Source organism: Homo sapiens, chromosome 1, assembly GCF_000001405.40.
Source record: "Homo sapiens chromosome 1, GRCh38.p14 Primary Assembly".
Lineage (NCBI taxonomy): Eukaryota > Metazoa > Chordata > Mammalia > Primates > Hominidae > Homo > Homo sapiens.
In genome coordinates, this window is record NC_000001.11 from 52,610,535 (window position 1) to 52,637,160 (window position 26,626).

The window sequence follows — 26,626 nt, forward strand, 5'->3', positions numbered from 1 at the left end:
TTGCTTTTTGTTTTGAGACAGGGTCACACTCTGTTGCCCAGGCTGAAGAAGAGTGGCTCGATCGTAGCTTACTGCATCCTTAGCCTCCTGAGTAACTAGGACTGCAGGCACACGCCACCATGCAACATAGTGGGACCCCACCTCTACAAAAAAATATTAGCTGGCCATGGCAGTGCATGCCTGTAGTCCCAGCTATCAGGAGGCTGAGGTGAGAGAATTGCTAGAGCCTGGGAGGTCAAGGCTGCAGCGAACCGTAACCATGCCACTGCACTCAGCCTGGGTGACAGAGGAGACCTTGCCTCAAATTATAAACTAATATGGTTATTAAAATGAATGAATGAAGTCTCCATATGCTACCATAGAAAGTTGTCCAAAAGTGAAAAAATGATAAGTTGTAAAACAGAATGAACACATTCACATACCCAGAAAAACCAGTATGAACAAGTGTAATGTTTTTATTAAAAATGTACAATGTTGCTGGGTGCATTAGGTGGCTCACGCCTGTAATCCCAGCACTTTGGGAGGCAGAGGTGGGAGGATTGCTTGAGCCCAGGAGTTCAAGACCAGTCTGGGCAACATGGCAAGACCGTGTCTCTGCAAAAAAATTTAAAAATTAGCCAGGCGTGGTCACTCACACCTGTAGTCCCAGCTACTCAGGAGGCTGAGGCAGGAGGATTGTTTGAGCCCAGGAGGTTGAGGCTGCAGTGAGCCGTGTTTGCGCCACTGTACTCCAGCCTGGGCAATGGGAGTGGACCCTGTCCCAAATTTTTAAAAAATTTACAATGTTAAGTGGGAGGGAAAGAGAGAGGGAAAAATATAGACCAAACTCTTAATGGTGGTTGTCTGCGAGGGGCTGAGGTAGGATAACAGGAGTCATTTTCATTAAGTTTCTGTAATGTTTGAATTTTGTATGTCAAATCCATATTTCACCTTTATATAAATGTGGAAAGGTGGCTAAAAATTGGGGTGCAGCCTGGGAAACACAGTGAGACTTCATCTCTACAAAAAATCAAAAAATTAGCCAGGTGTGATGGTGCACACCTATAGTCCCAGCTACTCAGGAGGCTGAGTGAGGAGAGTCACTGGAGCCTGGGAGTTTGAGGCTGCAGTGAGCTATGATCACGCCACTGCACTCCAACCTGAGCAACAGACCAAAATACTATAAAAAAAATGGGGTGATGGGCAGAGTCACTGGTAGATAATTCATTGGCCAATAAGAATTTCAGGTGTACTTTATCTAAGGTCACTCTTCTAGAAGTCTGGAGACTCAGATTCAAGTTCCTGTTGTGCCCCTGACTCACAGCAAATTCTTCCCTCTCTCCTGTCCTCCGTTTTCTCACTGGACAATGAAAGGGTTAAACCGTGCTTAGGATTTTCACAGTCTCCCTTCATGGTGCTTCTCAAAAGCTAACAAAAGTAAAGTGAAGGCTGTCCATGGGGTGACCACAGCCCCTCCTATGGTGGCCTCTCAGCTGCCCTTACACACCCTCCTCTTAGCTGCAGCTCTGCATGTACTTGTGTGCATGCACACACACACAGTGAAGCCCAGCTTGCACACATGTTCACACTGGACATCTGGGAACCACAGTCTCCTGCAGCTACCTTCCTCCCTCCATACCCACTGTCTCCACCACCCGTATGTATGCCTCCCCTCACTGTGCCCACCAAGGCCATCACTTAGTGCCTTATCGTTAAAGCCAATGAATATCTCTCACCTTGTCTTCCTTGACCTCTCAGCTGCATGTGACACTGCAGACTCTGCTCTTCTCCCTGGCACTTGCTCGGTCCTTGGCGTTCCTCTGTCTTCTCTTAGTTTCCCCCATCTCTCTAAGTGTTCCTTCGTTCTCAGTGTCAATGTCTCTCCCTTCTCTATCCACCCCTTCCCTGTTGGTCTTCCATGGGGTTCTAGTCTGATCTAGTTTCTCACCCCATATACCGTTCTGTAGCCAGCTCATTTTTTCCCATGGTTTTGACCACCATCTACACCCTGCTGACACCCAAATCTCTATATCCATGCAGGACTCCCATCCACCTGCCTCCTGGGCATCTCTACAGATACCTCAATTCAACATGGCCAGAACTAAATTCACCCTCATCTTTCCCCAACACATCTGCTCTCCCTTCCATTCTGCCTTGGCAGCCCCTGGAGCTTTCTCTTTCACACACCACTTACTTATCACACTCTATTCCCATCACTTAAGAAACTGCCCTCCCTTCCCTCTCCTGAGCACAGTGCTAGGCCCTTAATAGATGAAATTAAATTATGTCATAAGCCTTTGGAGTACCAACTCCATGCCTGCTCCTGCCTAAGCCCTATCTGGAAACCAAAGATGAGCAAGCCCATTTCCTCAGAAATTTAGAGTCCGTCTGAGGACCTTACGCTCCCAATTAGCCCTGTGTTTCTGTGGACTTTATCAGCTTCTGCTGTTCCCAACCCCCCTCTAATACATGCAAGAGTCCCCTAGGAAAAAGTTACTTTAAATCCTTATCAACAGTCACCTTAGTCATTGGTTAACCAGTATCTGCTAAGATCTTGGTTTTAAATTAATCCCTTGGTTATCAAATAACACTTGAGTAGTTAATATTTGATTATCTACTAACACCACCTTAGTTATCTTCTAACACCTTATTTACAAGCCAAATACTTTATTTATTCAGTTATATCTTAGGATTTAGTAGTTTAAAAGTATTTGCTATGTCTTAGTTATTAATCAAATTTTCTTTTTTTTTTTTTTTTTTTTTAACAAGGTCTTACTCTCTCACCCAGGCTGGAGTGCAGTGGTGCAATCACAGTTCACTGCAGCCTCAACCTCCTAGGCTCAGGCAATCCTCCCACCTCAGCCTCCTGAGTAGCTGGGACCACAGATGCTCACCACCATGTCTGGCTAATTTTTGTATTTTTTGTAGAGATGGGTTTTTGCCATGTTGCCTAAGCTGGTCTTGAACTCCTGGGCTCAAGTGATCTGCTCTCCTTGGCCTCCTAAAGTGCTAGGATTACAGGTGTGAGCCACCACGCCCAGCCTTAATCAATATTTTAGTTACCTGATCCCTTAGCTCTCTGCTGAGTTTAGAGTAGATTAGCAAGTCAGAAACCATCAGTTAGGAGTTTGGGGAAGAGGTCATTTCTGAATATGGAAAAATACAGGCCTTTGTCTTTTACTGAGCTCTCCTCTTACCCCCAAACGATTCTCTTTCAACATCAACTGGCCCCAGGTCCTGAGAGAAAAGGAGGTCCCATCCTAATTGCTTATTTGTTTCTCTGAGCCAGGCTGTAGGGGACTTCCTGGAATGTTGTGATTGGCAGGGACTTTCATTCATCAACAAATGTTTCTTGAGCACTGCATATCTGTCAAGTTCTCCCTAAGTTCTAACTGTACATCAGCAAACAAAATGGGCATGTTCCCAGCTGCTATGGCTCTTAGAGAACAGTGGAAAAGATAAACATTAAACAAATAGTTATTCTGATTATTATGTGATTACAATTATGATAAGCACAGGGATTATGATAAGTACAGGGAGCTGTGAGTGTGTATAAAAGTGGCACTTGACCTATTGTGGGATTCAGAGACTTCCTTGAGGAATGACATTAAAGCTGAAAGCTGAAATTTTAATAAGAGTTAGGGAAAAAATGGTAAGGAAGTCCTAAGCAGATAGAGTGGCTTGGGCAAAAGCCTAAAGGAAGGAAAAGGCTGATATGATAGAGCTAGTGCTGCCTGGAGCCACATGATAAGGAGAAGGACCAGAGAAGTAGGCAGATGCCAGATCATGCAGGGCCTTGTGGAATCTAAGTGAGAAATGATGTGACCTGGCCTAGCATGAAGCGTCTGTCTTCTATTGGTATAAGAAGATCTTCCTTAGAGTCCCAAATCTGACGGCCAGAAATAAACCCTGGGGCAGAGGCAGTCATTGAACCACTGGTAGAAGAAGGCTGCAGCTGAATGCAGTGGCTCACGCCTGTAATTCCAACACTTTGGAAGGCTGAGGAGGGTGGATTACCTGAGTTCAGGAGTTCGAGACCAGCCTGACCAACATGGCAAAACCCTGTCTCTACTAAAAATACAAATATTAACCGGGGGCAGTGGCTTGTGCCTGTAGTCCCAGCTACTGGGGAGGCTGAGGCAGGAAAATCGCTTTAACCTGGGAGGCGGAGGTTGCAGTGAGCCCAGATTTCACCACTGCACTCCAGCCTGGGCAAGAGTGAGGCTCCATCTCAAAAAAAAAAAAAAAAAGGAGTAGGCTGTTCTGCTTTGGGGGCTGCCTGGAGGACAGGTCACCACGGAGACACCTGTGAAAAGCAAGCAGCCCTGAAATTCCCCAGCTCTCTAGCTGAGCCAGCCAAGGGGTAGCTGAGAAGATTGCCAAGACTGGAGTCCCTACTAACCACCTGCTTTCACGGATTCCTGGACACCCCTGGAGTGATTACATTGCAGATAGTCCATTTTTTTTTTTTTTTTTTTTTGAGACAGAGTCTCGATCTGTCGCCCAGGCTAGAGTGCAGTGGTGCAGTCTTGGCTCATTGCAACCTCTGCCTCCCCAGTTCAAGTGATTCTCATGCCTCAGCCTCCCAAGTAGCTGGGACCACAAGCACATGCCACCACGCCCAGCTACCTTGTTTTTGTTTTTGTTTGAGACGTAGTTTTAGTCTTGTTGCCCAGGCTGGAGTGCAATGGCGCTATCTTGGCTCACTGCAACCTCCGCCTCCTGGGTTCAAGCGGATTCTCCTGCCTCAGCCTCTCAAATAGCTGGGATTACAGGCATGGGCCACCACACCAGGCTAATTTTGTATTTTTAGCTGAGATGGGGTTTCACCATGTTGGTCAGTCTGGTCTTGAACTCCTGACCTCAGTTGATCTGCCTGCCTCGGCCTCCCAAAGTGCTGGGATTACGGGTGTGAGCCACTGTGCCTGGCCCAACTTTTTTGTATTTTTATTAGAGATGAGGTTTTGCCATGTCGGCCAGGCTACTCTCAAACTCCTGGCCTCAAGTGATCCTCCTGCCTCAGCCTCCCAAAGTGCTGGGATCTAAGCTTGAGCCATTGCACCCGGCCCAAAGACCACATTTTAAGAAAGAAACACTGCCTGGGTACAACAAAAAGTCTACAGCTTCCTCCCCACGTACCCTTTAATCCCTACATCTTAGTCCTCACCTGTGGCTTCTACCACTTTGTGTGAGGATAGAGATTTGGTGGTTATAACAGGAACTCAGAGGAAACAGAGTCTCAAATGAAGTAGAAGTTTATTTCTATCCCACGTGAAAGTCAGATCTCTACTCTGCTCTATGAACTCTCAGGGGCCGAGGCTTATAGCTCTGCCATCCGTAGGATCTTGCCACCATCTGCATGACCCAAGATGGCTGACCACCTTGACCATATTCTTTTAAGGGCACTACAGCACATCTTACAGGTCAAAAGAACTTAGTCACATAGCCACACCCAGATCACTAGGAAATAAACTTTTTTTTTTTTTTTTTGAGACAGAGTCCTGCTCTGTCACCTAGGCTGGAGTGCAGTGGCGCGATCTCAGCTCACCACAACCTCCGCCTCCTGGGTTCAAGTAATTCTCCTGCCTCAGCCTCCTTGGGATTACAGGCATGCACCACCATGCCTGGCTAATTTTTGTATTTTTAGTAGAGACGGGTTTCACTATGTTGACCAGGCTGGTCTCGAACTCCTGACCTTGTGATCCACCTGCCTTGGCTCCCAAAGTGCTGGGATTACAGGCATCAGCCACTGCGCCCGGCCAGAAATAAACTTTTTATGCTGTGTGGCCATGTGCCCAAATGAAAATCAGGGGTTCCGTTAACACAGCAGAGGGGGAGAACAGATGTTGAGGGGCCATTACTGCCCCACACCTTAACATCTTTCACATCTCTCCTGTCTCCTTCTTTCTGCTGCATTCTGCCTCCATCTTCATTTCAGATTGTTTACTTTGCGTTTCTTTTTTTTTTTTTTTTTTTGAAATAGAGTCTCGCTCTGTCACCCAGGCTGGAGTGCAGTGGAGCAATGTTGGCTTACTGTACTGCAACCTCCACCTCCCAGGTTCAAGAGATTCTTCCACCTCAGCCTCCCGAGTAGTTGGGATCACAGGCACCCACCACCATGCCAGGGTAATTTTTTGTATTTTTAGTAGAGATGAAGTTTCACCATATTGGCCAGGCTAGTGTCGAACTCCTGACCTCAAGTGATCCCCCCGCCTTGGCCTCCCAAAGTGCTGGGATTACAGGTGTGAGCCACCGTGCCCAACTGGGTTCCTTTAGAGCAGCCAAATCGCTATCCTCACACAGAGAGATAGAAGCCACAGGTAAGGGTTAAGGTGTAGGGATTGCCCAGGCACAGTGGCTCACACCTGTAATCCCAGCACTTTGGGAGGCTGAGGCAGGCAGATTGCTTGAGCCCAAGAGTTTAAGACCATCCTAGGCAACATGACAAAACCCCATCTCTACAAAAAATACCAAAATAATTAGCCAGGAATGGTGGCACGCACCTATAGTCCCAGCTACTTGGGAGGCTGAGGCAGTAGAATCGCTTGAGCCCAGGAAGCAGAGGTTGCAGTGAGCAGTGATCACGCCACTGCACTCCCTCCTGGGTGACAAAGCCAGACCCTGTCTCAAAAAATAAAAAAAAAAAAATAAAAGATGTAGGGATTGAAGGAGACATGGAGATTTATCATCCTTCTAGATTATCTCTTTGGCCCCAGCTCCCTCCTCCAATCCATCTTTCACTTTGCAAGCTGAATGTTCTAAAAAGCAAATCTGAACACATCAGCTGTCTGTTTCAGTGTGCTCCCAACACCAAACTGCTTGCTGTGCTCTCTTTTACACCTTCTTCCCATTGCACAGGTGGAAATTATTTTCCTTGCCTTGAAATTGCTGGGCGTTTTATCTCCAGGGTATTCCTTTAACCTAGCAAGTGCATGGCCCATAGTAGGTGTTCAACATGCATTTGCTGATTGACTAACCTTATTGTCATCATCCATGTCTGTTTCTGAATGTCCCAAGAACTATCTGAACTCTTGTACCAGCTAGGTTCCCCATGAAAGACTCAATTCCTCCCAGGGAGGGGGTTGACCACTCTCAGTGAGATGGAAAAGCCCAAGCAGAGGCCCCTTCTTCCTAATCCCTTAGAATATCAGCTCTCTCTTCTGATCACAAGGCCAATCAAGCCCCACTCATCATTCTCCAGAGGGGAGTCCCAGGGCCACAAGAGACCTGGTATTCATGACGATTGCATGGGAAATACTTATATTTTAAAAGTATTCATTGTTTATCTGAAATTCAAATTTAACTGATCATCCTGTATTTTATCTGGCAACCCTAATGTAGGGTTGAGAACCATGTAGTAGGGAATTGAACTAGATAGCCTGTAGAACCCTCTCAACTCCAGGAAACAAAGATTCGAAGATTCTTTTTTAAATTTGTATTTACTTAGTTTTTTAGAGACGGGGGTCTCACTATGTTTTCCAGGATGGATTAGAACTCTTGGGCAAAAATGATCCTCCTGCCTCAGCCTCCCAAGTAGCTGGGATTACAGGTGCATGCCACCACACCTGGCTCCTAAGATTCTTCTAGTTTGCCTTATTCCTTCCAGTGAAAGCAGAAACTCTTCTTAGGATTATAGTAAAAGAGTTGAGAACAATAACTAACAGGTGAATTAACATAACAAATGACAATACCCCCTTACTCACTGTGTAACCTTGGGACAGTCACTTAACCTCATTGAACATCCATTGCTTCATTTAGCCAATGAAAGGAAACCGAGATTTTATCTAATAAATGCCAGGCACTGTGTAGACACTTCCTTCTATGAGATCTCTTGCCTAGGACAATCAGACAAAATACTGTCTGAGAAGGCACTTTGTATGTGGGAATAGGCTGTAACAAATGTAAAATGGTGTTACCGTTAGTATCATATCTGTCTGCAGTTTCTTTCTTTTACTGCCCCTTAGCAGGAAAGAAGCTTCCTTAGTTCCATCATATTGTAGAGGAAGAATGTCATTGTCCAGGACTCTAGACTATAGAGCAGTGGTTCTTTTTTTGTTGTTGTTGTTGTTTTCTTTTGAGACAGAGTCTTTCTCTGTCTCCCAGGCTGGAGTGCAGTGGCACAATCCTGGCTCACTGCAACCTCTGCCTCCTGGGTTCAAGTGATTCTCCTGCCTCAGCCACCCAAGTAGCTGGGACTACAGGCTTGCACCATCATGCCCAGCTCATTTTTGTATTTTCAGCAAAGATGGAGTTTTGCCATTGTTGGCCAGCTGGTCTGGAACCCCTGACCTCAAGTAATCCGCCCGTCTCGGCCTCCCAAAGTGCTAGAATTACAGGCATGAGCCACTGCATCCGGCCAGAGCAGTGGTTCTTCACCGGGAGTGATTTTATTTCTTGGGGGATATTTGGCAGTATCTGAAGACATTTTCTGTTGTTACAACTGGGCGGTGGATGTTACTGGCATTTAATAGGCAAAGGCCAGAGATACTGCTAAACATGCTACAATGCAGAGAACTGCTTCCCACAACAAAAAATTATCTGGGCTGGGTACAGTGGCTCACACCTATAATCCCAGCACTTTGAGAAGCCAAGGCAGAAAGATCACTTGAATTCAGGAGTTCAAGACCAGCCTAGGCAACATGGCAAAACTCTGTCTCTACACTTAAAAAAAGGCTGGGCACAATGGCTCACACCTGTAATCCCAGCACTTTGGGAGGCTGAGGTGGGCAGATCACTTCAGGCCAGGAGACAGAGACCAGCCTGGCCAACATGGTGAAACCCTGTCTCTACTTAAAAAAAAAAAAAAAAAAAAAAAAATAGCTGGGCATGGTGGTGGGTGCCTGTAGTCCTAGCTACTCAGGAGGCTGAGGCACAAGAATGGCTTGAACCCAGGAGGCGGAGGTTGCAGTGAGCTGAGATCCTGCCACTGCACTCCAGCCTTGGCCACAAAGCGATACTCTGTCTCAAAAAAAGATTTTTTTTTCCAGCTGGCCATGGTGACGTGTGCCTATAGTTCCAGCTATTTGGGAAGCTGTGGTGGGAGGACTGGTTGAGCTCAGGAGGTCGAGGCTATAGTGAGCCATGATTGCACCACTGCATTTCAGCCTGAGTGACAGAGAGAGATGTCCAAGATCACCCAGCAAGTCAGTTGCCAAGTAGCAACTGGAATCCAGGCTGATCTGATCCTAAAGTCCTTGCCTTTCCCTATATTCCTTGTTTCCTGGACTCTGGTAACAACACTCCAGCAAGGGGAGAGAGGGTTTACAGCAAGCTTGTCAAACCTGTAGCCCATGGGCCACGTGCGGCCCAGGATGGCTTTTGAATGCAGCCCAACACAATTTGTAAACTTTCTTAAAACATGATTTTTTTTTTTTTTTTTTGCTTAAACAAACAAACAAAAAAGGCCGGGCACGGTGGCTCAGGCCTGCAATCCCAGCACTTTGGGAGGCTAAGGCAGGTGGATCACTGAGGTCAGGAGTTCGAGACCAGCCTGATCAACATGGAGAAACCCCATCTCAAATAAAAATGCAAAATCAGGCATGGTGGCGCATGCCTGTAATCCCAGCTACTCGGAAGGCTGAGGCAGGAGAATTGCTTGAACCTGGGAGGCGGAGGTTGCGTTGAGCCGAGATTGCACCATTGCACTATAGCCTGGGCAACAAGAGCAAAACTCCGTCTCAAAAACAAGCAAGCAAACAAACAACAAACAAACAAACAACAAACAAACAAAAACTCATCAGCTATTGTTAGTGTTAGTGTATTTTATATGTGGCCCAAGACAATTCTTCTTCTTTCAATGTGGTCCAGGGAAGCCAAAAGATTGGACACCCCTGGTTTGCAGTTAAAGACACTGATTCTAGGAAAGGGCCATTCACCCAAGGTACAAAAGTCTTGGAGTAAGTTCCAGAAGTGGCTGATATCAGGATGAAAAAGAACCATGAACATGATAAATGCTTAATAATGTGTCAAGTGCTGAACTCATGCTGAGATCAGAGAAGGAGGTAGGCAGAGGCGGTGTCTCCTTGAACTTTGGGGACAGGCATCCCCAGGACAAATCCCAATTTCTACCATTCCTGGCTGTATTTCTCTATTCTAGAGAAAGCCAGAGTCTGAAGCTGTGATTCTTAAGTAAGGTGATGGCACACAGATGGTGCTCAATGAATGGTATACATATAGTCAAGACAGCAGATGCTGAAAGAAAGAATGATGTGCTGAAAGTTGGCCACAGAAGAGCTTGCTGCAAGAGGGGTTTCTTCAAGCCAGGCATTGAAGAATGGGAGATGATTTAAGTAAGCAGAAGGAGGGAATATCACGTGGACAAAAACCTACGAAAGAAGGCTCCTTTCCCCAGTCAGACTAGCTGAATCAGAGGCTTCCTGTAGGAAAGATGAGGTGGGAATATTGGAGAAATAGGGAGAGTTCAGATTTTAGAGGTCAGACTGGAGTAATTGGGGCTACTTCAAAAGCTCTGATCAAGTCTTCTGAAGAGCTCTCTGTTGACAAATATGTGGTGGGAAAGAATCAAGTGGTAAAAACACACAATTGTCCAGAGAAAAAACAATAGCACAATTTTACCTCCAAAATCAAAAGAATTCTCTTCATCATTATATTGGACAATGTAATAATGCAAGAATAATAAATAAAAGGCACCTCCTGAAAAGTAAAAGTAAAACTGCCTTTATTCACAGACAACACAATCATGTACATAAAAAATTCTAAGTAATCTACAATGAAGCTACTAGAACTAATAAGTGAATTTATCAAGATGACAAGATACAAGGTGAATATACAAAAGTAAACTGTATTTATATATATTAGGAACAAACAATTAGAAAATGACATTAAAATGCCATTTCAAGGCTGGGCACAGTGGCTCACGCCTGTAATCCTAGCACTTCGGGAGGCTGAGGCAGGCAGATCACTTGGGGTTGGAAGTTTAAGACCAGCCTGGCCAACATGGCGAAACCCTGTCTTTACTAAAAATACAAAAAGTTAGCCGGGTGTTGTGGTGGTGCATGCCTGTAATCCCAGCTACTCAGAAGGGTGAGTTGGGAGAATCGCTTGAACCCAAGAGGTGGAGGTTGCAATGGGTTGAGATCGTGCTACCGCACTCCAGCTTGGGCGACAGAGAGAGACTCTGTCTCAAAAAAAATAAAAAATAAAAAAAAATAAAAAAAGAAACGCCATTTAGAAAAGTACCAAAAATAAGAAAAAGGGACACATTTTACAAAATACTGTAAGTCCTATACACCGAATATAAAATATTGTTGAGGTAAATTAAAGAACTAAATAAATAAAGAGACAGGCCAGGTGCGGTGGCTCACGTCTGTAATCCCAGCTCTTTGGGAGGCCAAGGTGGGTAGATCACCTGAGGTCAGAATTTCAAGACCAACTGGGCCAACATGGCAAAATCCCGTCTCTACCAAAAATACAAAAAAATTAGTCATGTGTGGTGGTATCCACCTGTAATCTCAGTTACGTGGGAGGCTGAGGCAGGAGACTAGTTCAAACCCAGGAGGCAGAGGTTGCAGTGAGCCGAAATCATGCCACTGCACTCTAGCCAGGGTGACAGAGTGAGACTCTGTCAAAAAAAAAAAAAAAAGAAAGAAAGAAAGAAAAAAGAGATATACCATGTTCATGGATTGGGAAACTCAATATTAAGATGTTAACACTCTCCAAATTTATCTATTGATTCAATGCAATCCCAAGCAAAATCCCAGCAAGTATTTCTGTATTTGACAAACTAATTCTAAAATTTATATGGAAATGCAAAGGCCCTAGAACCACAAAAACAACTTTGAAAAATAAGGGCAAAGTTAGAGGACTTATACTACCTGATTTAAAGTTTTTTTTTTTTTTTTTTTTAGATGGAGTCTCTCTCTGTCACTTAGGCTGGAGTACAGTGGCCCAATCTCAGCTGGCTGCAGCCTCTGCCTCCTGGGTTCAAGTGATTCTCCTGCCTCAATCTCCCCAGTAGCTGGGATTACAGGTGGGCACCACCAAGCCCGGCTATTTTTCTATTTTTTAGTAGAGATGAGGTTTCACCATGTTGGCCAGGCTGGTCTCAGGTGATCCACCTGCCTCAGCCTCCCAAAGTTATGGGATTACAGGCATTAGCCATTATGCCCAGCCTCAAGATTTATTTGTAAAGCCACAGTAATTAAGACAGAGTGGTATTGGCTCATGGATAGAAGGACAGACAAAGATTAATGAAATGCCTGTACTCCCAGCACTTTGGGAGGCCAAGGCGGGCAGATCACGAGGTCAGGAGATTGAGACCATCCTGGCTAACATGGTGAAACCCCATCTCTACTAAAAAATAGAAAAAAATAGCCAGGCATGGTGGCAGGCACCTGTAGTCCCAGTTACTTGGGAGGCTGAGGCAGGAGAATGGCATGAACCAGGGAGGCGGAGCTTGCAGTGAGCCAAGATAGTGCCACTGCACTCCAGCCTGGGTGACAGAGTGAGACTCCATCTCAAAAAAAAAAAAGATTAATAAAATGGAATAGAAAATCCAGAATCCGACAGGTATTGTTGATTTTTGACAAAGTTGTCAAGTTATTTCAATGAGGAAAGGCTAGTCTTTTCAGAGAATGGTTCCGCAACAACTGGATATCCATGTGCCAAAAGTGAACTTTGACCTTTGTTTTACACCGTACACAAAAATTAACTCAAAATGGACCAAAGACATACATGCAAAATCTAAAGCTATAAATATTCCAGAAGAAAACACAGAAGGAAATCTTTGTAATCTTAGAGTAGGCAAAGATTTCTTTTTAAACAGACACAAAAGCTCTGACTTTAATAGAAAAAGGTGATAAAGAAGACTTTAGCACAATTAAAAATTTTTCTTTTAACAAGACACTTTTTAAAAAAAAGAAAATAAGGCCAGGCACAGTGGTTCACGCCTGTAATCCCAGCACTTTGGGAGACCAAGGCAGGTGGATCACGAGGTCAGGAGATCGAGACCATCCTGGCTAACACGGTGAAACCCCGTCTCTATTAAAAAAATACAAAAAAAATTAGCCGGGCATGGTGGTGGGCGCCTGTAGTCCCAGCTACTCGGGAGGCTGAGGCAGGAGAATGGCATGAACCCAGGAGGCGGAGCTTGCAGTGAGCGGAGATCGCACCGCTGCACTCCAGCCTGGGCAACAGAGCGAGACTCTGTCTCAAAAAGAAAAGAAAAGAAAAGAAAAAGGCAAGCCCACAAACTGGAAAAAATGATTTACAATAATATATTTGATAATGAGATTTGCATCTAGAATATTTAAGAACAGTTATAACTCAATAAGAAGATAAACCTATAGATTCAATGTAATCCCTATTAAAATTAAAATGTCATTTTTCACAGATATAGAAAAAAGTTCTAAAACGTATTTGGAACCACAGAAAAACTCTGACCAGCCAAGGCAATCTTGAGCAAAAAGAATAAAGCTGGTGGCATCGCACTACCTGACTTCTTGCTATATTACAAAGCTATAATAATTAAAACTGCATGGTAGTGGTATAAAAATAGACATATTGACCAACAGAACCAAACAGAAAGCCAAGAAATGAATGCACACATTTTCATCCTATTGATTTTTAACAAAGGAGACAGAACCACACAATAGGAAAAGGAAAGCCTCTTCAATAAACGGTGTTGGAAAAACTGGATATTCACTTGCAGAAGAATGAATTGGTCTTACACCATATTCAAAAATCAACTCAAGGCCAGGTGGGTGGCTCATGCTTGTAATCCCAGCATGCTGGGAGGCTGAGGTGGGCAGATTACCTGAGGTCAGGAGTTTGAGACCAGCCTGGCCAACATGGCAAAACCTCATCTCTAATAAAAATACAAAAAAATTAACCAGGCATGGTGGTGTATACCTGTAGTCCCAGGTACTTGGGAGGCTGAGGCACAACAATCACTTGAACTTTGGAGGCAGGGGTTGCAGTGAGCCAAGATCACACCACTGCACTCCAGCCTGGGAGACAGAACAAGACTAAAAATACAAAAATTAGCCAGGCATGGTGGTGAGAACCTGTAATCCCAGCTACTTGAGAAGTTGAGGCAGGAGAATCACTTGAACCTGGGAGGCAGAGGTTGCAGTGAGCCAAGATTGCACCACTGCACTCCAGCCTGGATGACAAAGCGAGACTCTGTCTCAAAAAATAATAATTATTATAATTATTCAAAGTTACCCACACATGGTGGGGCACACCTGTAGTCCCAACTACTTGGGAGGCTGAGATGGGAGGATCACTTGAGCCTGGGAGGTTGAGATTATAGTGAGCTAAGATCATGCCACTGCACTCCAGTCTGGGCAACAGACCAAGACCCTGTCTCAAAAATTAATAATAATAATAATAAAATAAAACAAAAAAGTGGGCTGGGTGCAGTGGTTCACGCCTGTAATCCCAGCACTTTGGGAGGCCAAGTTGGGTGGATCACGAGGTCAGGAGTTTGAGACCAGCCTGACCAACATGGTGAAACACCGTCTATACTAAAAATACAAAAATTAGCCAGGGGTTGTGGTGCACGCCTGTAGTCCTAGCTACTTGGGAGACTGAGGCAGAAGAATCACTTGAACCAGGGAGACAGAGGTTGCAGTGAGCCGAGATCACGTCTCTGCATTCCAGCCTGGTAGACAGAGCAAGACTCCGTCTCAAAAAAAAAAAAAAAAAAAAAAAAAAAGCAAGGAAATAAGTTGTTTTCATAACATAAAAGTGTGAGGTGATGCAGCAAAGTCTGATGCAGAAGCTATAGCAAGTTACCCAGAAGTTCTAGCTGAGATAATTGATGAAGGCAGCTACACCAAACAACAGATTTTCAATGTAGACAAAACAGCCTTTTATCAGAAGATGCCATCTAGGACTTTCATAGATAGAGAGGAGAAGTCAATGCCTGGCTTCAAATCCAAAGGACAGGCTGACTCTCTTTTATTAGGGGTTAATGTAGCTTGTGACTGCCAGTTTTTTTTTCTTTCTTTCTTCCTTTTTTTTTTTTTTTTTTTTTTGAGAAAGGATCTCACTCTGTCACCCAGGCTGGAGTGCAGTGGCGCAATCTCAGCTCACTGCAATCTTTGCCTCCTGGATTCAAGCAATCCTTCCCTCAGCCTCCCAAGTAGCTGGGACTACAGGTGCACGCCACCATGCCCAGCTAATTTTTGTATTTTTTGTAGAGACAGGGTTTTGCCATGTTGGCCAGGCTGCTCTCAAACTCCTGAGCTCAATCAATCCACCTGACTTGGCCTCCCAAAGTTCTGGGATTACAAGCATGAGCCACCATGCCCAGCCTGAAGCCAATGCCTCTTTACCACTCAGAAAATCCTAGGGCTGTTAAGAATTTATGCTCAATCTGGCCAGGCATGGTGGCTCACGCCTGTAATTCTAGCACTTTGGAAGGCCGAGGCAGGTGGATCACCTGACGTCAGGAGTTTGAGACCAGCCTGGCCAACATAGTGAAGCCACATCTCTACTAAAAATACAAAAATTAGCCAGGCATTGTGGCATGTGCCTGTAGTCCCAGCTACTTGGGAGGCTGAGGCGGGAGAATCACTTGAACCCAGGAGGCTGAGGTTGTAGTGAGCCGAGACTGTGCCACTGCACTCCAGCCTGGGCGACAGAGCGAGACTCCATCTCAAAAAAAAAAAAAAAAAAAAAAAAGAATTATGCTCAATCTACTCTGCCTGTGCTGTATAAATGGAACAACAAAGCCTGGATGACAGCACATTTGTTTATAGCATGGTTTACTGAATTCTAAGCCCACTATTTAGACCTAGTGCACAGAAAAAAGATTCCCTTCAAAATATTACTGCTCAATGACAATGTACCTAGTCAACCAATGGCTCTGATGGAGATGTACAAAGAAGGAGGTTAATGTTGTTTTAATGTCTGCTAATATAACATCCATTCTGCAGCCCATAGATCAAGGAGTAATTTTGACTTTTAAGTCATATTATTGAATAAATACATTTCCTAAGGCTATAGCTGCCATAGATAATGATTCCACTGATGGATCTTGGCAAAGTAACTTTCGTTTGCACTGCAAAACCAAAAGTTTTCTGTGACTTGTTTTATTGTGATATTCACTTTATTGTGGTGGTCTGGAACTGAACGTGCAGTATTTCTGAACTGTGACTATATCTGAATAGCTAATGAGTTCATGAAAAGATCTTTATCATTAGTTGGCCCCGCACGGTGGCTCACGCCTGTAATCCCAGGCCTCTGGGAGGCTGAGGCAGGCAGATCAATTGAGGTGGGGTGTTCAAGACCAGCCTGCCCAACAAGGTGAAACCTCTCTACCAAAAAATACAAATATCAGCCGGATGTGGCTGCATGTACCTGTAGTCCCAGCTAAACTACTCGGGAGGCTGAGGTGGGAGGATCACTTGAACCTGGGAAGCGGAGACTGCAGTGAGCCGAGATTATACCACTGCCCTCTAGCCCGGGCAAAAGGGTGAGGCAGTTGAGACCCTTTCTTAAAAAAAAAAAAAAAAAAAAAAGTCTTTTATCTTAGCCGTTAAGGAAATACAAATTAAAGCCACAATGAGAAAACACTTTACACCTGTAAGAATGCTAAAGTAGAAAATATTGACAATATTAAGTGCTAGTGAAAACATTTCTGCAATTTCTCTCTCTTTCCCCTCCCCTCCCCTCCTCTTTCTTTCTCTCTTTCTCTCTTTTGTTCTTTCTTTCTCAATAGGGCTGTTGCGCAGGCTGGAGTGCAGTGTGGCACAATCAGCTCACTGCAGCCTTGAACTCCCAGGCTCAAGTGATTCTCTTGCCTCTGCCTCCTGAATAGCTAGGACTATAGGCCTGCGCTACCATGCCTAGCTAATTTTTTTTTTTTTTTTTTTTTTGGGTAGAGATGGGGTCATGTTGTGTTGCCCAGGCTTGGCAATTTCTTATAAAGTTAAACATATATCTACCCTATAATTCAGAAATTCCACTCCTAGGTATCCAGCTAGGAGAAATGTAAACACATGTCCCAAAACAAAGCATATTTGCAAAAATGTTTATAGCAACTTTATCCATAATAGCCCCAAACTAGAAACAACCCAAATGCCCATTAACAGTTGAATGCACAAACTGTAGTATTTCTATATAATACAGTATTACTTAGCAATAAAGAGGAAGGAACTACTTGTACATAAAACAGTTTCTGTGTATCTCAAGGATGTTGTGATGAGCAAAAAGAAGTAAGACCCAAAGAAGGACATGCAATTTGATTTCATTAGTATGCAATTCAAGAAAAGGCAGAACTAATCTATATGGACAGAGAGCAGAGCAGTGGTACCTAAGGCAAGGCTCGGAGAGAAGAGAGCTGGTTGCAAACGGGCACAGTAGGCGGAGATACGTGATGGAAAACTGCTGTATTTTGACTGTGGTGTTGGTTTCATGGATATACATGTTTGTCAAAACTCACCAAGCTGTACACTTAAGCATATTCTATGGTTTGTAAAATAGACCTCAATAAAGTTGATTTTTGTTTTCAAGGTAGAGTCTCGCTCTGTCACCCAGGCTGGAGTGCAGTGGCGCAATCACAGCTCACTTCAGTCTTGACCTCCCAGTCTCAAGCAATCCTCACACATCAGCCTCCCGCGTAGCTGGGACTACAAGCACATACCACCATGCCCCGCTAATTCTTTTCTTTGTTTTTAGGGATGGGATCGCACTTTGTTGCCCAGGCTGGTATGTTGATTTTATTATATTTACTTATTTTTTTGAGACAGAATCTCACTCTGTGCCCAGGCTGGAGTGCAGTGGCGCAATCTCGGCTCACTGCAACCTCCGCCTCTGGGGTTCAAGCAATTCTCTTGCCTCAGCCTCCCAAGTAGCTGGGATTACAGGCACCCGCCACCATGCCCGACTAATTTTTGTATTTTTAGTAGAGACGGGGTTTCACCATGTTGGCCAGGCTGGTCTCAAACTCCTGACCTCAGGTGATCCACCTGCCTCTGCCTCCCAATGTGCTGGGATTACAGGCATGAGCCACCACACCCAGCCGGTAAGTTGATTTTAAAAGAAAAAAAAAAACTCAAAAAAGTATCATTGTTTGAAATAGCAATAAAAAATTGGAAGAAACCTAAATGTCCAAGAGAATGGATAATAAATCACCACATATTTGATAACTGAACGATATAGCACAATGAATAAGCTAAATAGAGTATACACATCAGTATAGACAAAGCTCGCAAACAGAAGCCTGAGTGAAAAAGCAGGTTCCAGGAGAATACATGCAGCATGATGCTATTTATTTAAAATTTAATTACATGCAAAGCAATTCCACACATTGCTCAAAGATCCATGCATATGTGAGCATAAATAAGAATATGGGAATAATAAATACCAAATTCAGGAGTGTAGTACCTCTTGGGGAGGAGGGAGGAGTATGCAAGGGACTTCAAACCGGATCAAATTTTTTTTTTTTACATTTTATTTTATTTACTTTTTTATTTTTTAAGCTGTTCCTTTCAGAGCAGGGCTAACTCCCAAGCAGTGAACCCAGAGTCAGCCAATTTTTTTATTTTGTAAACTATGTGGGTGGTCCCTGTATTATTCTTCATGTCGCTTTGTGTGTCTGAAAGATCGCCTAGTAAAACAAACAGACAGCAAACCAACGAAGACCTAAACAGAAAGTGTGGCCACAAAGAGTGAGGAAGAGCCTGGCTGGTATGTGGGCCACTGGTTTGTTCCTGGATTTGCTGTCCAACCGTGTAGGTCGCTTCTCTCTGATCAAGACACAAGAGCCTCATTCTGGAAGAAAAGAGAAAACATCCTTCCTGACCAGGCACTCAGAGGGATTTGATGCATGTTGCATCCTTTCTTTGCTTCTCCAGCTGCAGAAGCTGGTACTGCAAACTGGTACCCGATCCTGGCCAGGGGGAAGCTCGGTGGCCATGTACACACTCTCAGGCCAGTGCAGCCAGGGCAGGAGGAGAAGAGGAGGGGCTGCTTTCACTCTGCCAGGGCCAGAGGCCAGGGACCACACACACAGCCAGGGTACTAGTTCCGCCTGGGCCATTGGTTGCCATGTGACACGAGCAGAACTGGCTCTTCCAGCCAGGGGTTGTCCCCGGGATTGTGGTCACTGGGCTGTGCAGCAGACCATAGCGAGGGGACATTTCTTTCCCGACCCTCTCTGAGAGAACTCGGCTCCTGGAGCAAAAGCTGCCAAGGTCTTGAGGGCACTGTTTTGTGTACCCTGCAGAAAGGGGTCCTGTTAAGGCTGGCCCAGTACCAGACTTTAGGATCCTCCATCTGGAGTAATCTTAGCTAGTGCCCTATATGCAGAGAGGGAAAGTGACCATGACCAGCCTAAGTTCACACAGAAGGTGACTGGAACTTCTGACTTGTAGATCCCTGAGCAAGTTACTTAACCTCTCTGGGTCTCAGTTTTCCTACCCATAAAATGGGCGCATAATTGTGTGCATGGGGGCAGGGTTTGGGGGTGTATGATAGATATTTTTGTGTGGTGAAATTATGGGTGATTTTTATTTTTCCTTTTGGCTTATCTGTATTTTCTAATTTGTTGTTTTATAACGAATATGCATTTTGTTATTTTTTCTTTTTATTTCTTTTTTTTTTTTTTTTAGAGACAGGGTGTCTTCTCACTCTGTCACCCAAGCTGGAGTGCAATGGCACCATCACAGCTCACTGCTGCCTCAAACTCCTGGGCTCAGGTGATCCTCCTGCCTCAGCCTCCCAAGTAGCTAGGACTACGGGTGCATGCCACCATGCCCAGGCTGATTTTAAACTCCTGGGCTCAAGCAATCCTCCTGACTCAGACTCCCAAAGTTCTGGGATTACAGGCATGAACTGCTGCACCTGGCCTATTTTTAATTTTTCTTAATGAAGAAAGTAATACTACACATAGTTGGTGTAAAGATAGATAATGAAAAGCACAGAGCACAATTTCCCATTCACAGTGTGTTCTCCATAAATATTTCTCCCTGCCCACGCTTCCCTCCTATGCCTTTTTTCCCTTCTGGAGTTGGGGACTCTGGCCCCAGGCCTCATTTGGGAAGGGAGGAAGAGGCGGTACAGGACTCTGATCAGTTACTGGCTATGTGGCTTTGGGTAAATTATTTAACCTCTCTCTCAGTTACCTTGTCTGCAAAATGGGAAGACTAACACCTACCTCAAAGGAAGTTTTCAAGGACTACATGACATACAGGATGGGTATTGCCTGGCACATCATAGCTCTGTAATAAGTGTCTGCAGGAGAACAGAATGAAGGAACACAATGCATATAATGAAGGAAAAAGCATTAAAGTAGGAGCTAGAACAGAGACATGAGAGGATGTTCACATAGAGTCCATGGAGCCCAAGGAGCCTCTGGATAGAGTGTAGAAGGTTCATGAATTTACGTGGGAAAAATCACATCCTTGGTATGCATTACCTCTAACTGAAATTCAGTATTTTCTTTCATCATGCATATTGGTAAGAAAACCCACGATAGTATTAGTAGTGCTTGTGACTTTGTCACCAATAGAAATCACAGATATTTTCATATTGTATTACAGTAGAGACATATTGAAATACTAGTTATTTTCATTCACCACTTCAAAATTATAGTAATTAATAGACTCATCTCTAGATCTTATTGACACTTTTTAAAAAGTAGGACAAATCATGATTCAATATAATTGGTATCCTCTGTAACCCTAAATAATTTTTTTTTTTAGTTAAAAACATTATTTGTGGCCTGGTGCGGTGGCTCACACCTGTAATCCCAGCACTTTGGGAGGCTGAGGTGGGTGGATCACTTGAGGTCAGGAGTTCAAGACCAGCCTGGGCAACATGGTGAAACCCTGTCTCTACTGAAAATACAAAAATTAGCCAGGCGTGGTGACGCATGCCTGTAATCCCAGCTGCTTGGGAGGCTGAGGCAGGAGAATCACTTGAACCCTGGAGACAGAGGTTGCAGTGAGCCGAGATTCCAGCCTGGATGACAAAGTGAGACTCCATCTCAAAACAAAACACAAAAAACAAAAACAAAAAAAAACCCACTATTCTGAATAGGGGTTCATAGGCTTCATCAGACTGCCAAGGGGGACATGGAGACAGACATGGGTATCAGCCCTGCCTGGGCCATTGATCGCTGTGTGGTATTGGACTTGTTATTTCAGGCACATTCACCCCTGCGTGGCTCACCCCAGAGGGCTGTTGGGAGGAACAAATTAATTCTTGGCTGGGAGAGGGTTTTGGAAATTGTTGGAGGCTTTCTAGTTTTGCCAAAAGCCAGGGCAGAGCGCTTTCTTCCTCCCAGCTGATCTCCAGGCCTCCAGGAAGCCTCTCCCTCCCAGAGGATTCCTCCCCTGTACTCTCCATCTGATAAAGAGGCTGAAGTGCACCCTCATTAGTGTAGGCTCTCCAGCTCCCAGTCTGCTCAGACCCACAGCTCAGGGGAGGAATGTTCTGGAGGATAATAACAGTTCCCTCCAGCTTTCATATTTGACCTTACAGTGACTCTTGAGGACACCGCCTCCCTCAGAGCCCTCCCCTGCTTCCTCAGATGGTGCCCCTCTGTGTCCAGGTCCTTGCATTTCCCTTTTTACTGCCCTGTGCTGTGATCGTCAGTCAGTCTGACTCCTCCATCAGACTGTGTGTTTCTCAACGGCAGGCCCAGATCTGATCCCTCTCAGGGGCCCTAGGGCCCACCCAGGTCAGGGCAGCGGCACAATCAGCATCTGAGGAGCTGGCCTGGGTGAGGACAAGGAACCCAAAGCTCAGAGAGAAACAGCAGGGAAGGGGTAGAGCTGGGCTGGAGCCCAGATCCCCTGATACCCACGGCCCGTTCCCCACACGTCCAAACCAAGGGCGAAGGAATCGGGGGTGCCCGAGGCACCACAGTAACTATTTCCTACCCTACCCACTGCTGTGAAAAATGTAGAGCTAAGGCACTGAAGGTGCTGTATGAAGCCCTTCCAGATGGCGTAAGGCAACAGGGTACATGGGGGAAGCCAAGGCACTGAGAGCCCCTTCAGACTGTGGTTCTCTGATGCTAGTGAGAACACTGCCCTTGTTCTCTGGAAGTAATTTTTCAAAATGGACAGGTCTGCTGACTTTCTTTGCTGGTCAGTGTGGGGAAGGAGGTTACCGTCTGGGCCCATCCACACCCATATTCGGCTCCTTGTCCCAGGCCAGTGGCAGGCAGTATGAACAGAAGAGTGTGGACATTGTCCGTGCACGAGCTAGCTCTCAGCGAGACTAGCAGGGACTCCAGATGATGAGGACATCTAAAAGCCCGCTAGAAAAGAGGCACCATGAAAGCCGCAGAAAGAGCAAGGACTTCCTACTAGGCCGCCCCCGGTTAAAATCTCGTGGGCTTAGGAACTCCGGGAAATGGCTTCTCTCTGGCCCTCAGCTCTCACCTTTAACACGGATGCGAACATCCCCGGGCCCCTGGGTTTTTGCGGAGGTTGGGTGAGGTTGTGTTCACTCTCCTCACTGACCCCGCCGTGTGGTCGCCGGCTGGTGCCTTGTCTGTCTGCCCCAGCCCCGAATGCCCCGAGACTCCCGGCGCCGGCTCGGTGCAGGTAAGGCGCCCGCGCCCTGGCCTCGAATTCCCGCCCCGCCACTCTGGCCGCGTCGTGCTGTCGTTGCGCACCCAGCGCCCTCGTGCAGGCAGGGGGAGCGCAGTGGGGAGGGGGCAGGAAGCGCAGGCAGAGCCAGGCGAGCACGCGGCTCCCGGCCCAGCTCCCCGCGTCCGCTCCGGCTCCTGCCGCGTTCCAGCAGCCGTCACTCCCGCCGCCGGCCCCCGCCGCCCGCCCCGCCTGCCCCTACCCCTCCGCGCGGGCCGGGCACCTGGCCGCCGCTCGGTCCTCGGGGCCCCGCGCTGCTGTCTCTGTCTCGGCTTCTCTCGGCCCCTGGGTCTCTTCGTCTCTGCCGTTCTCAGGCTCAGCTCCGTCTCGCTCGGTCCCTCGCTTCCCCGCCGGGCTCTAGCCGGCCGTCTGGTGGCCCGAGGTGGCGGCGGGCTGGGCGCGGGGCGCGATGAGCGGCGCCTGCACGAGCTACGTGAGCGCAGAGCAGGAGGTGGTGCGCGGCTTCAGCTGCCCGCGGCCGGGGGGCGAGGCGGCCGCTGTCTTCTGCTGCGGCTTCCGCGACCACAAGTACTGCTGCGACGACCCGCACAGCTTCTTCCCCTACGAGCACAGCTACATGTGGTGGCTCAGGTACCGTCCCTGGCCCTCACCCTACCTTGAACCCCACTCCAGTCTCAGCGCCTTCACCCCAGCCTCAGCCCCCACCCGAGTGTCCACCTGAACATCAGCAGCAAGCTCTAGTCCTTACCGTCCTCATGCCCACAGCATCAACCACCCCGTGAAACCCCATCTCAGCTCGATTTCCTCATCCTGACCCCAACCATTATTTAGAGCCATGCTCGGACCTCCCCCTCCTCTAATCCAAAACAATCCTCACTCTATCCCCACCCCAAACTTCATTCCATCACCACCCTCATCCCAACCCCAAATCACATATCAAGCCTCCCCCTAACAGCAACTTCCATCTTCAAACATTCACAGGCAGCCCAACTCCACCCCAATCATCATCCCACCAAGGTGCCCTTCCTAATATCAACACCAGCCTTATTCCTGACTTTCCACACTCCCCAGTACTGACCCCAGACCTTATTCTATCACCAGCCCCAACCTCCTCTTCTGTCCTGCCTGCAGTCCCACCTCAGCTCTTCTCCCACATCCTGACTCCAAATATTATTAATATCTAGATCTACATCCAAACCTCAACCTCCAGACTTAACCCTCGCCTGGTGCTACACCCCAACCCCAGCCTCAGCCCAGCGTCAACCCTTGGTTCCCTTTTGTATTTAGTCATTCTTTCGGGCACTCTCTACTGAGCACTTGGTGTGTGCCAAGCCCTGTGGTGAGTGCTGGGGATGTACCCCATCCTCAAGCTAAGGCAGAAGACTCGGGAGTCAGAGCTGCCTCCAAGTTCATCATGAGACAATGGCATAGTGCAGAAGCTAGCTCAGGCCATATTCATAGAAGTGTTGACTCTCCACCCATAGGACCTCAGTTTCCCCATTTGTTCAGGGAAGAGGTTGCATTCCTGGAGCCTAAGTGTTGGCTTGAGAGGGTAATAGGTCTCAATCCCCCTGGGTCTCCAAAGGCCTTACCTGGAGAATGGAACTTGATCCTCAGCCTACTTTGGGAAACAGGCATCAGCAAAAATTGAGTGGGCCATCTCAGTAGTTAGTGATTTTCCTGTCCCTGGAGGTATATGAGCAGAGGCTGCTGCCCTCTGGGTGGGAAAGGACAGTGTCCTATGCCACGAAAACTTCTCAAGTCTCTGGCTTTTCATCTATCAAACGGGCAGTAGGATGATCAATCATTGCCCTGATTTCTGACTAAGGCAGTGGTAACGGTCAAATGACATACATAACAGAGCTGAAATCAACTTGACATATGCCAATGACAATTACAAATATTATTGCTTTTTCTAGGTGACTCGATCCACAATTCTAAATGATTTTCAGATGGCCAGGTTATCAGATCCTACATATTTGTGCTATCTATAACCCAGGGAATTATATTAATGTATTTTCTGTTCATCCATATATTCATTCATTCATTCATTCATTCTAGCCTTTACTTTGTGCCAGGCACTTTGCAAGGTATTGGAGACACAAAAATCAATTATTCCCTGCCCCTGAGGAACTCACAGTTTATTTAGAGATACAATGGTATTCACTTGACAAGTTCATTTTGCTTGCTGCCCAAAAAAACCAATGCACTGAGAACAACAGGTTTTGCAGCAAAGAAAGAGTTTAATAATCACAGGGCCAACCAAGTGGCAAAATAGGACATAATTCTCAAATCCACACCCTCATTCCCCACCCCCCACCCCACCAGAGAATTCGGAGACTATGGTTTCTCAAGGAATGGTGGCAGATGGGGCTAGGGAATAGGGAATGCCAATTGGTTGGGTTAGGGATAAAATCGTAGGGGATCAAAGCTACCTTCTTGCACTGAGTCAGTTGCTGGGTAGGGGAGCTCACAAGACCAGTTGAGCCAGTTTATTGGTATGGGTTACTGGTCCAGGTGGCACCAACTGGTCTATCAAAATGAAAGGTCTGAAAGATACCTCAAACACCAGTTTTAGGTTTTACAACTCCTCCTATAGGAGGAGTTGAGGAGATTACAAATCATGTGACCTCCAGCTACACGACTCCTGAACCATAATTCTAACCTTGTGGTTAATTTGTTAGTTTAACAAAGGCAGTTGCAGTCCCTGAGCAAGGAGGGTGTTAGTTTTAGGAAGGGGCTGTTATCATCTTTGTTTTAAAGTTAAACTATAAACTAAATTCCTCTTATAGTTAACTTGGCCTGTGCCCAGGAATGAAGAAAGACAGCTCGTAAAGTTAGACACAAGATGGAGTCAGCTATGTCAGATTTCTCTCACTGTGATAATTTTTCTGTATCAGATTTCTCTTACTGTGATAATATTCACTAGGGCACTTTCACAACATTCACCTAAAGTGAAACAATGAAGTTTTGTTGAAGGCCCACTGTGTAGTTGGCATTGAGCTAGGCTCTGAAATAAGATGGCACTGACCTCCCTTGTAAGTACAGAGACAATGTGGAGCTTTGGGGCTGGTCAGAATCTGTCACTTATTATCTATGTGGATTGGAAAAGTTATTTAACTTCCTAGTATTTTCTCTCAACTTTAAAATGGTGATAGAGATATTTGTGTGATAGTACAGAGACAGTGTGGAGCTTTGGGGCTGGTCAGAATCTGTCACTTATTATCTATGTGGATTGGAAAAGTTATTTAACTTCCTAGTATTTTCTCTCAACTTTAAAATGGTGATAGAGATATTTGTGTGATAGTACAGAGACAGTGTGGAGCTTTGGGGCTGGTCAGAATCTGTCACTTATTATCTATGTGGATTGGAAAAGTTATTTAACTTCCTAGTATTTTCTCTCAACTTTAAAATGGTGATAGAGATATTTGTGTGATGGAATTGTAAGAACTAAGAGAAATAATGCACATGAAAGTGACCAGTGCATATGTTAGGTGCTCAATAAGAGAGTTCCCTTTCCTTGGTTCATAGGTGTGGGAAGTGAAATTCAGTGTGGAAGTGAATTGTCCGAGATCTCCTAGCAATATCATAGCAGACTGAGACTTAAAGAACATTACCTAAGACTATCCAAGGGTTAGATGCTCTCACACATTCACAACCCTGGCACTTCTCATTTTACACATGAGAAAACTTGAGAAAGGTTAAGTTACTATCTGGGAGTGTCCCAGTGAGAGGCAGTGGCAGAGCTGGGTTGAAAACTCAGGCCTGTCTCATCTCAAGCCCTGGCTTGTCCTGTCTACTACTGTCTGGATCTCTCTTAACAACCTGATCCACTCAGATCATCTGAAAAATACTCACTGACCCTCTAGTGTCTTCTGGGCACTGTGCTGGCCCCTGGGGACACAGAGGTGAGTAATTCTCTCAGCACCCAGCCAGGACCCTTTCCCTCTTCCACTAACCCCTTCCCTACACAGCTCTTGTGTCTTGTGGTCCCTTCCGTTGCCCTGGAAACTCTGACGTGGCATGCTTTAGTGGCTCAGACAATGCTTTCTTCGGGGGTTGGATGGGCTGATCTCTGGGGTAACATCCCATGTCAGTGTGTTCCCATTCTGTGA

The 26,626-nt window shown here is 45.9% G+C and overlaps 1 protein-coding gene and 1 long non-coding RNA gene across 14 annotated transcripts in view, besides 3 other annotated features; one reads left to right on the forward strand and one right to left on the reverse strand.

The window, feature by feature from the left end:
- Positions 1-18,186: 18,186 nt before the first annotated feature.
- LOC124904178 (uncharacterized) lies at positions 18,187-22,921 on the reverse strand. 3 transcript variants are annotated; one of them, XR_007066084.1, is made up of 2 exons: positions 22,774-22,921; positions 18,187-18,720 (listed from the first exon to the last, which is right to left on the reverse strand). It is a non-coding gene; the product is annotated as an uncharacterized LOC124904178 (long non-coding RNA). The 3 variants fall into 3 exon arrangements; XR_007066086.1 differs by lacking the exon at positions 22,774-22,921 and adding an exon at positions 22,341-22,416; XR_007066085.1 differs by lacking the exon at positions 22,774-22,921 and adding an exon at positions 20,105-20,687.
- Positions 22,254-26,626, forward strand: part of SHISAL2A (shisa like 2A) — a 36,896-nt gene continuing 32,523 nt past the window's right edge. For 6 of the 11 annotated variants that reach the window (NR_135156.2, XR_946637.2, XR_946639.3 and 3 more), the window contains exon 1: positions 22,634-23,141. Coding sequence is in view for 3 of the 11 variants with exons in the window: in NM_001042693.3 (NP_001036158.1) it covers positions 22,960-23,141 (182 nt within the window). In the remaining 8 variants the exon portion in view is untranslated. Of the gene's footprint in view, positions 22,506-22,633; positions 23,142-26,626 lie in introns of those variants that run through there. The other 5 variants (XR_946635.3, XR_007059587.1, XR_946636.3 and 2 more) reach the window with 1 other exon arrangement.
- Positions 22,512-22,621: a silencer, noted in NCBI's record as "silent region_894". NCBI's record gives its function as "represses an Ori minimal core promoter by ATAC-STARR-seq in GM12878 lymphoblastoid cells {active_cell/tissue: GM12878}" and the evidence as "EXISTENCE:reporter gene assay evidence [ECO:0000049][PMID:35858748]".
- Positions 22,712-22,901: a silencer, noted in NCBI's record as "silent region_895". NCBI's record gives its function as "represses an Ori minimal core promoter by ATAC-STARR-seq in GM12878 lymphoblastoid cells {active_cell/tissue: GM12878}" and the evidence as "EXISTENCE:reporter gene assay evidence [ECO:0000049][PMID:35858748]".
- Positions 22,912-22,961: a silencer, noted in NCBI's record as "silent region_896". NCBI's record gives its function as "represses an Ori minimal core promoter by ATAC-STARR-seq in GM12878 lymphoblastoid cells {active_cell/tissue: GM12878}" and the evidence as "EXISTENCE:reporter gene assay evidence [ECO:0000049][PMID:35858748]".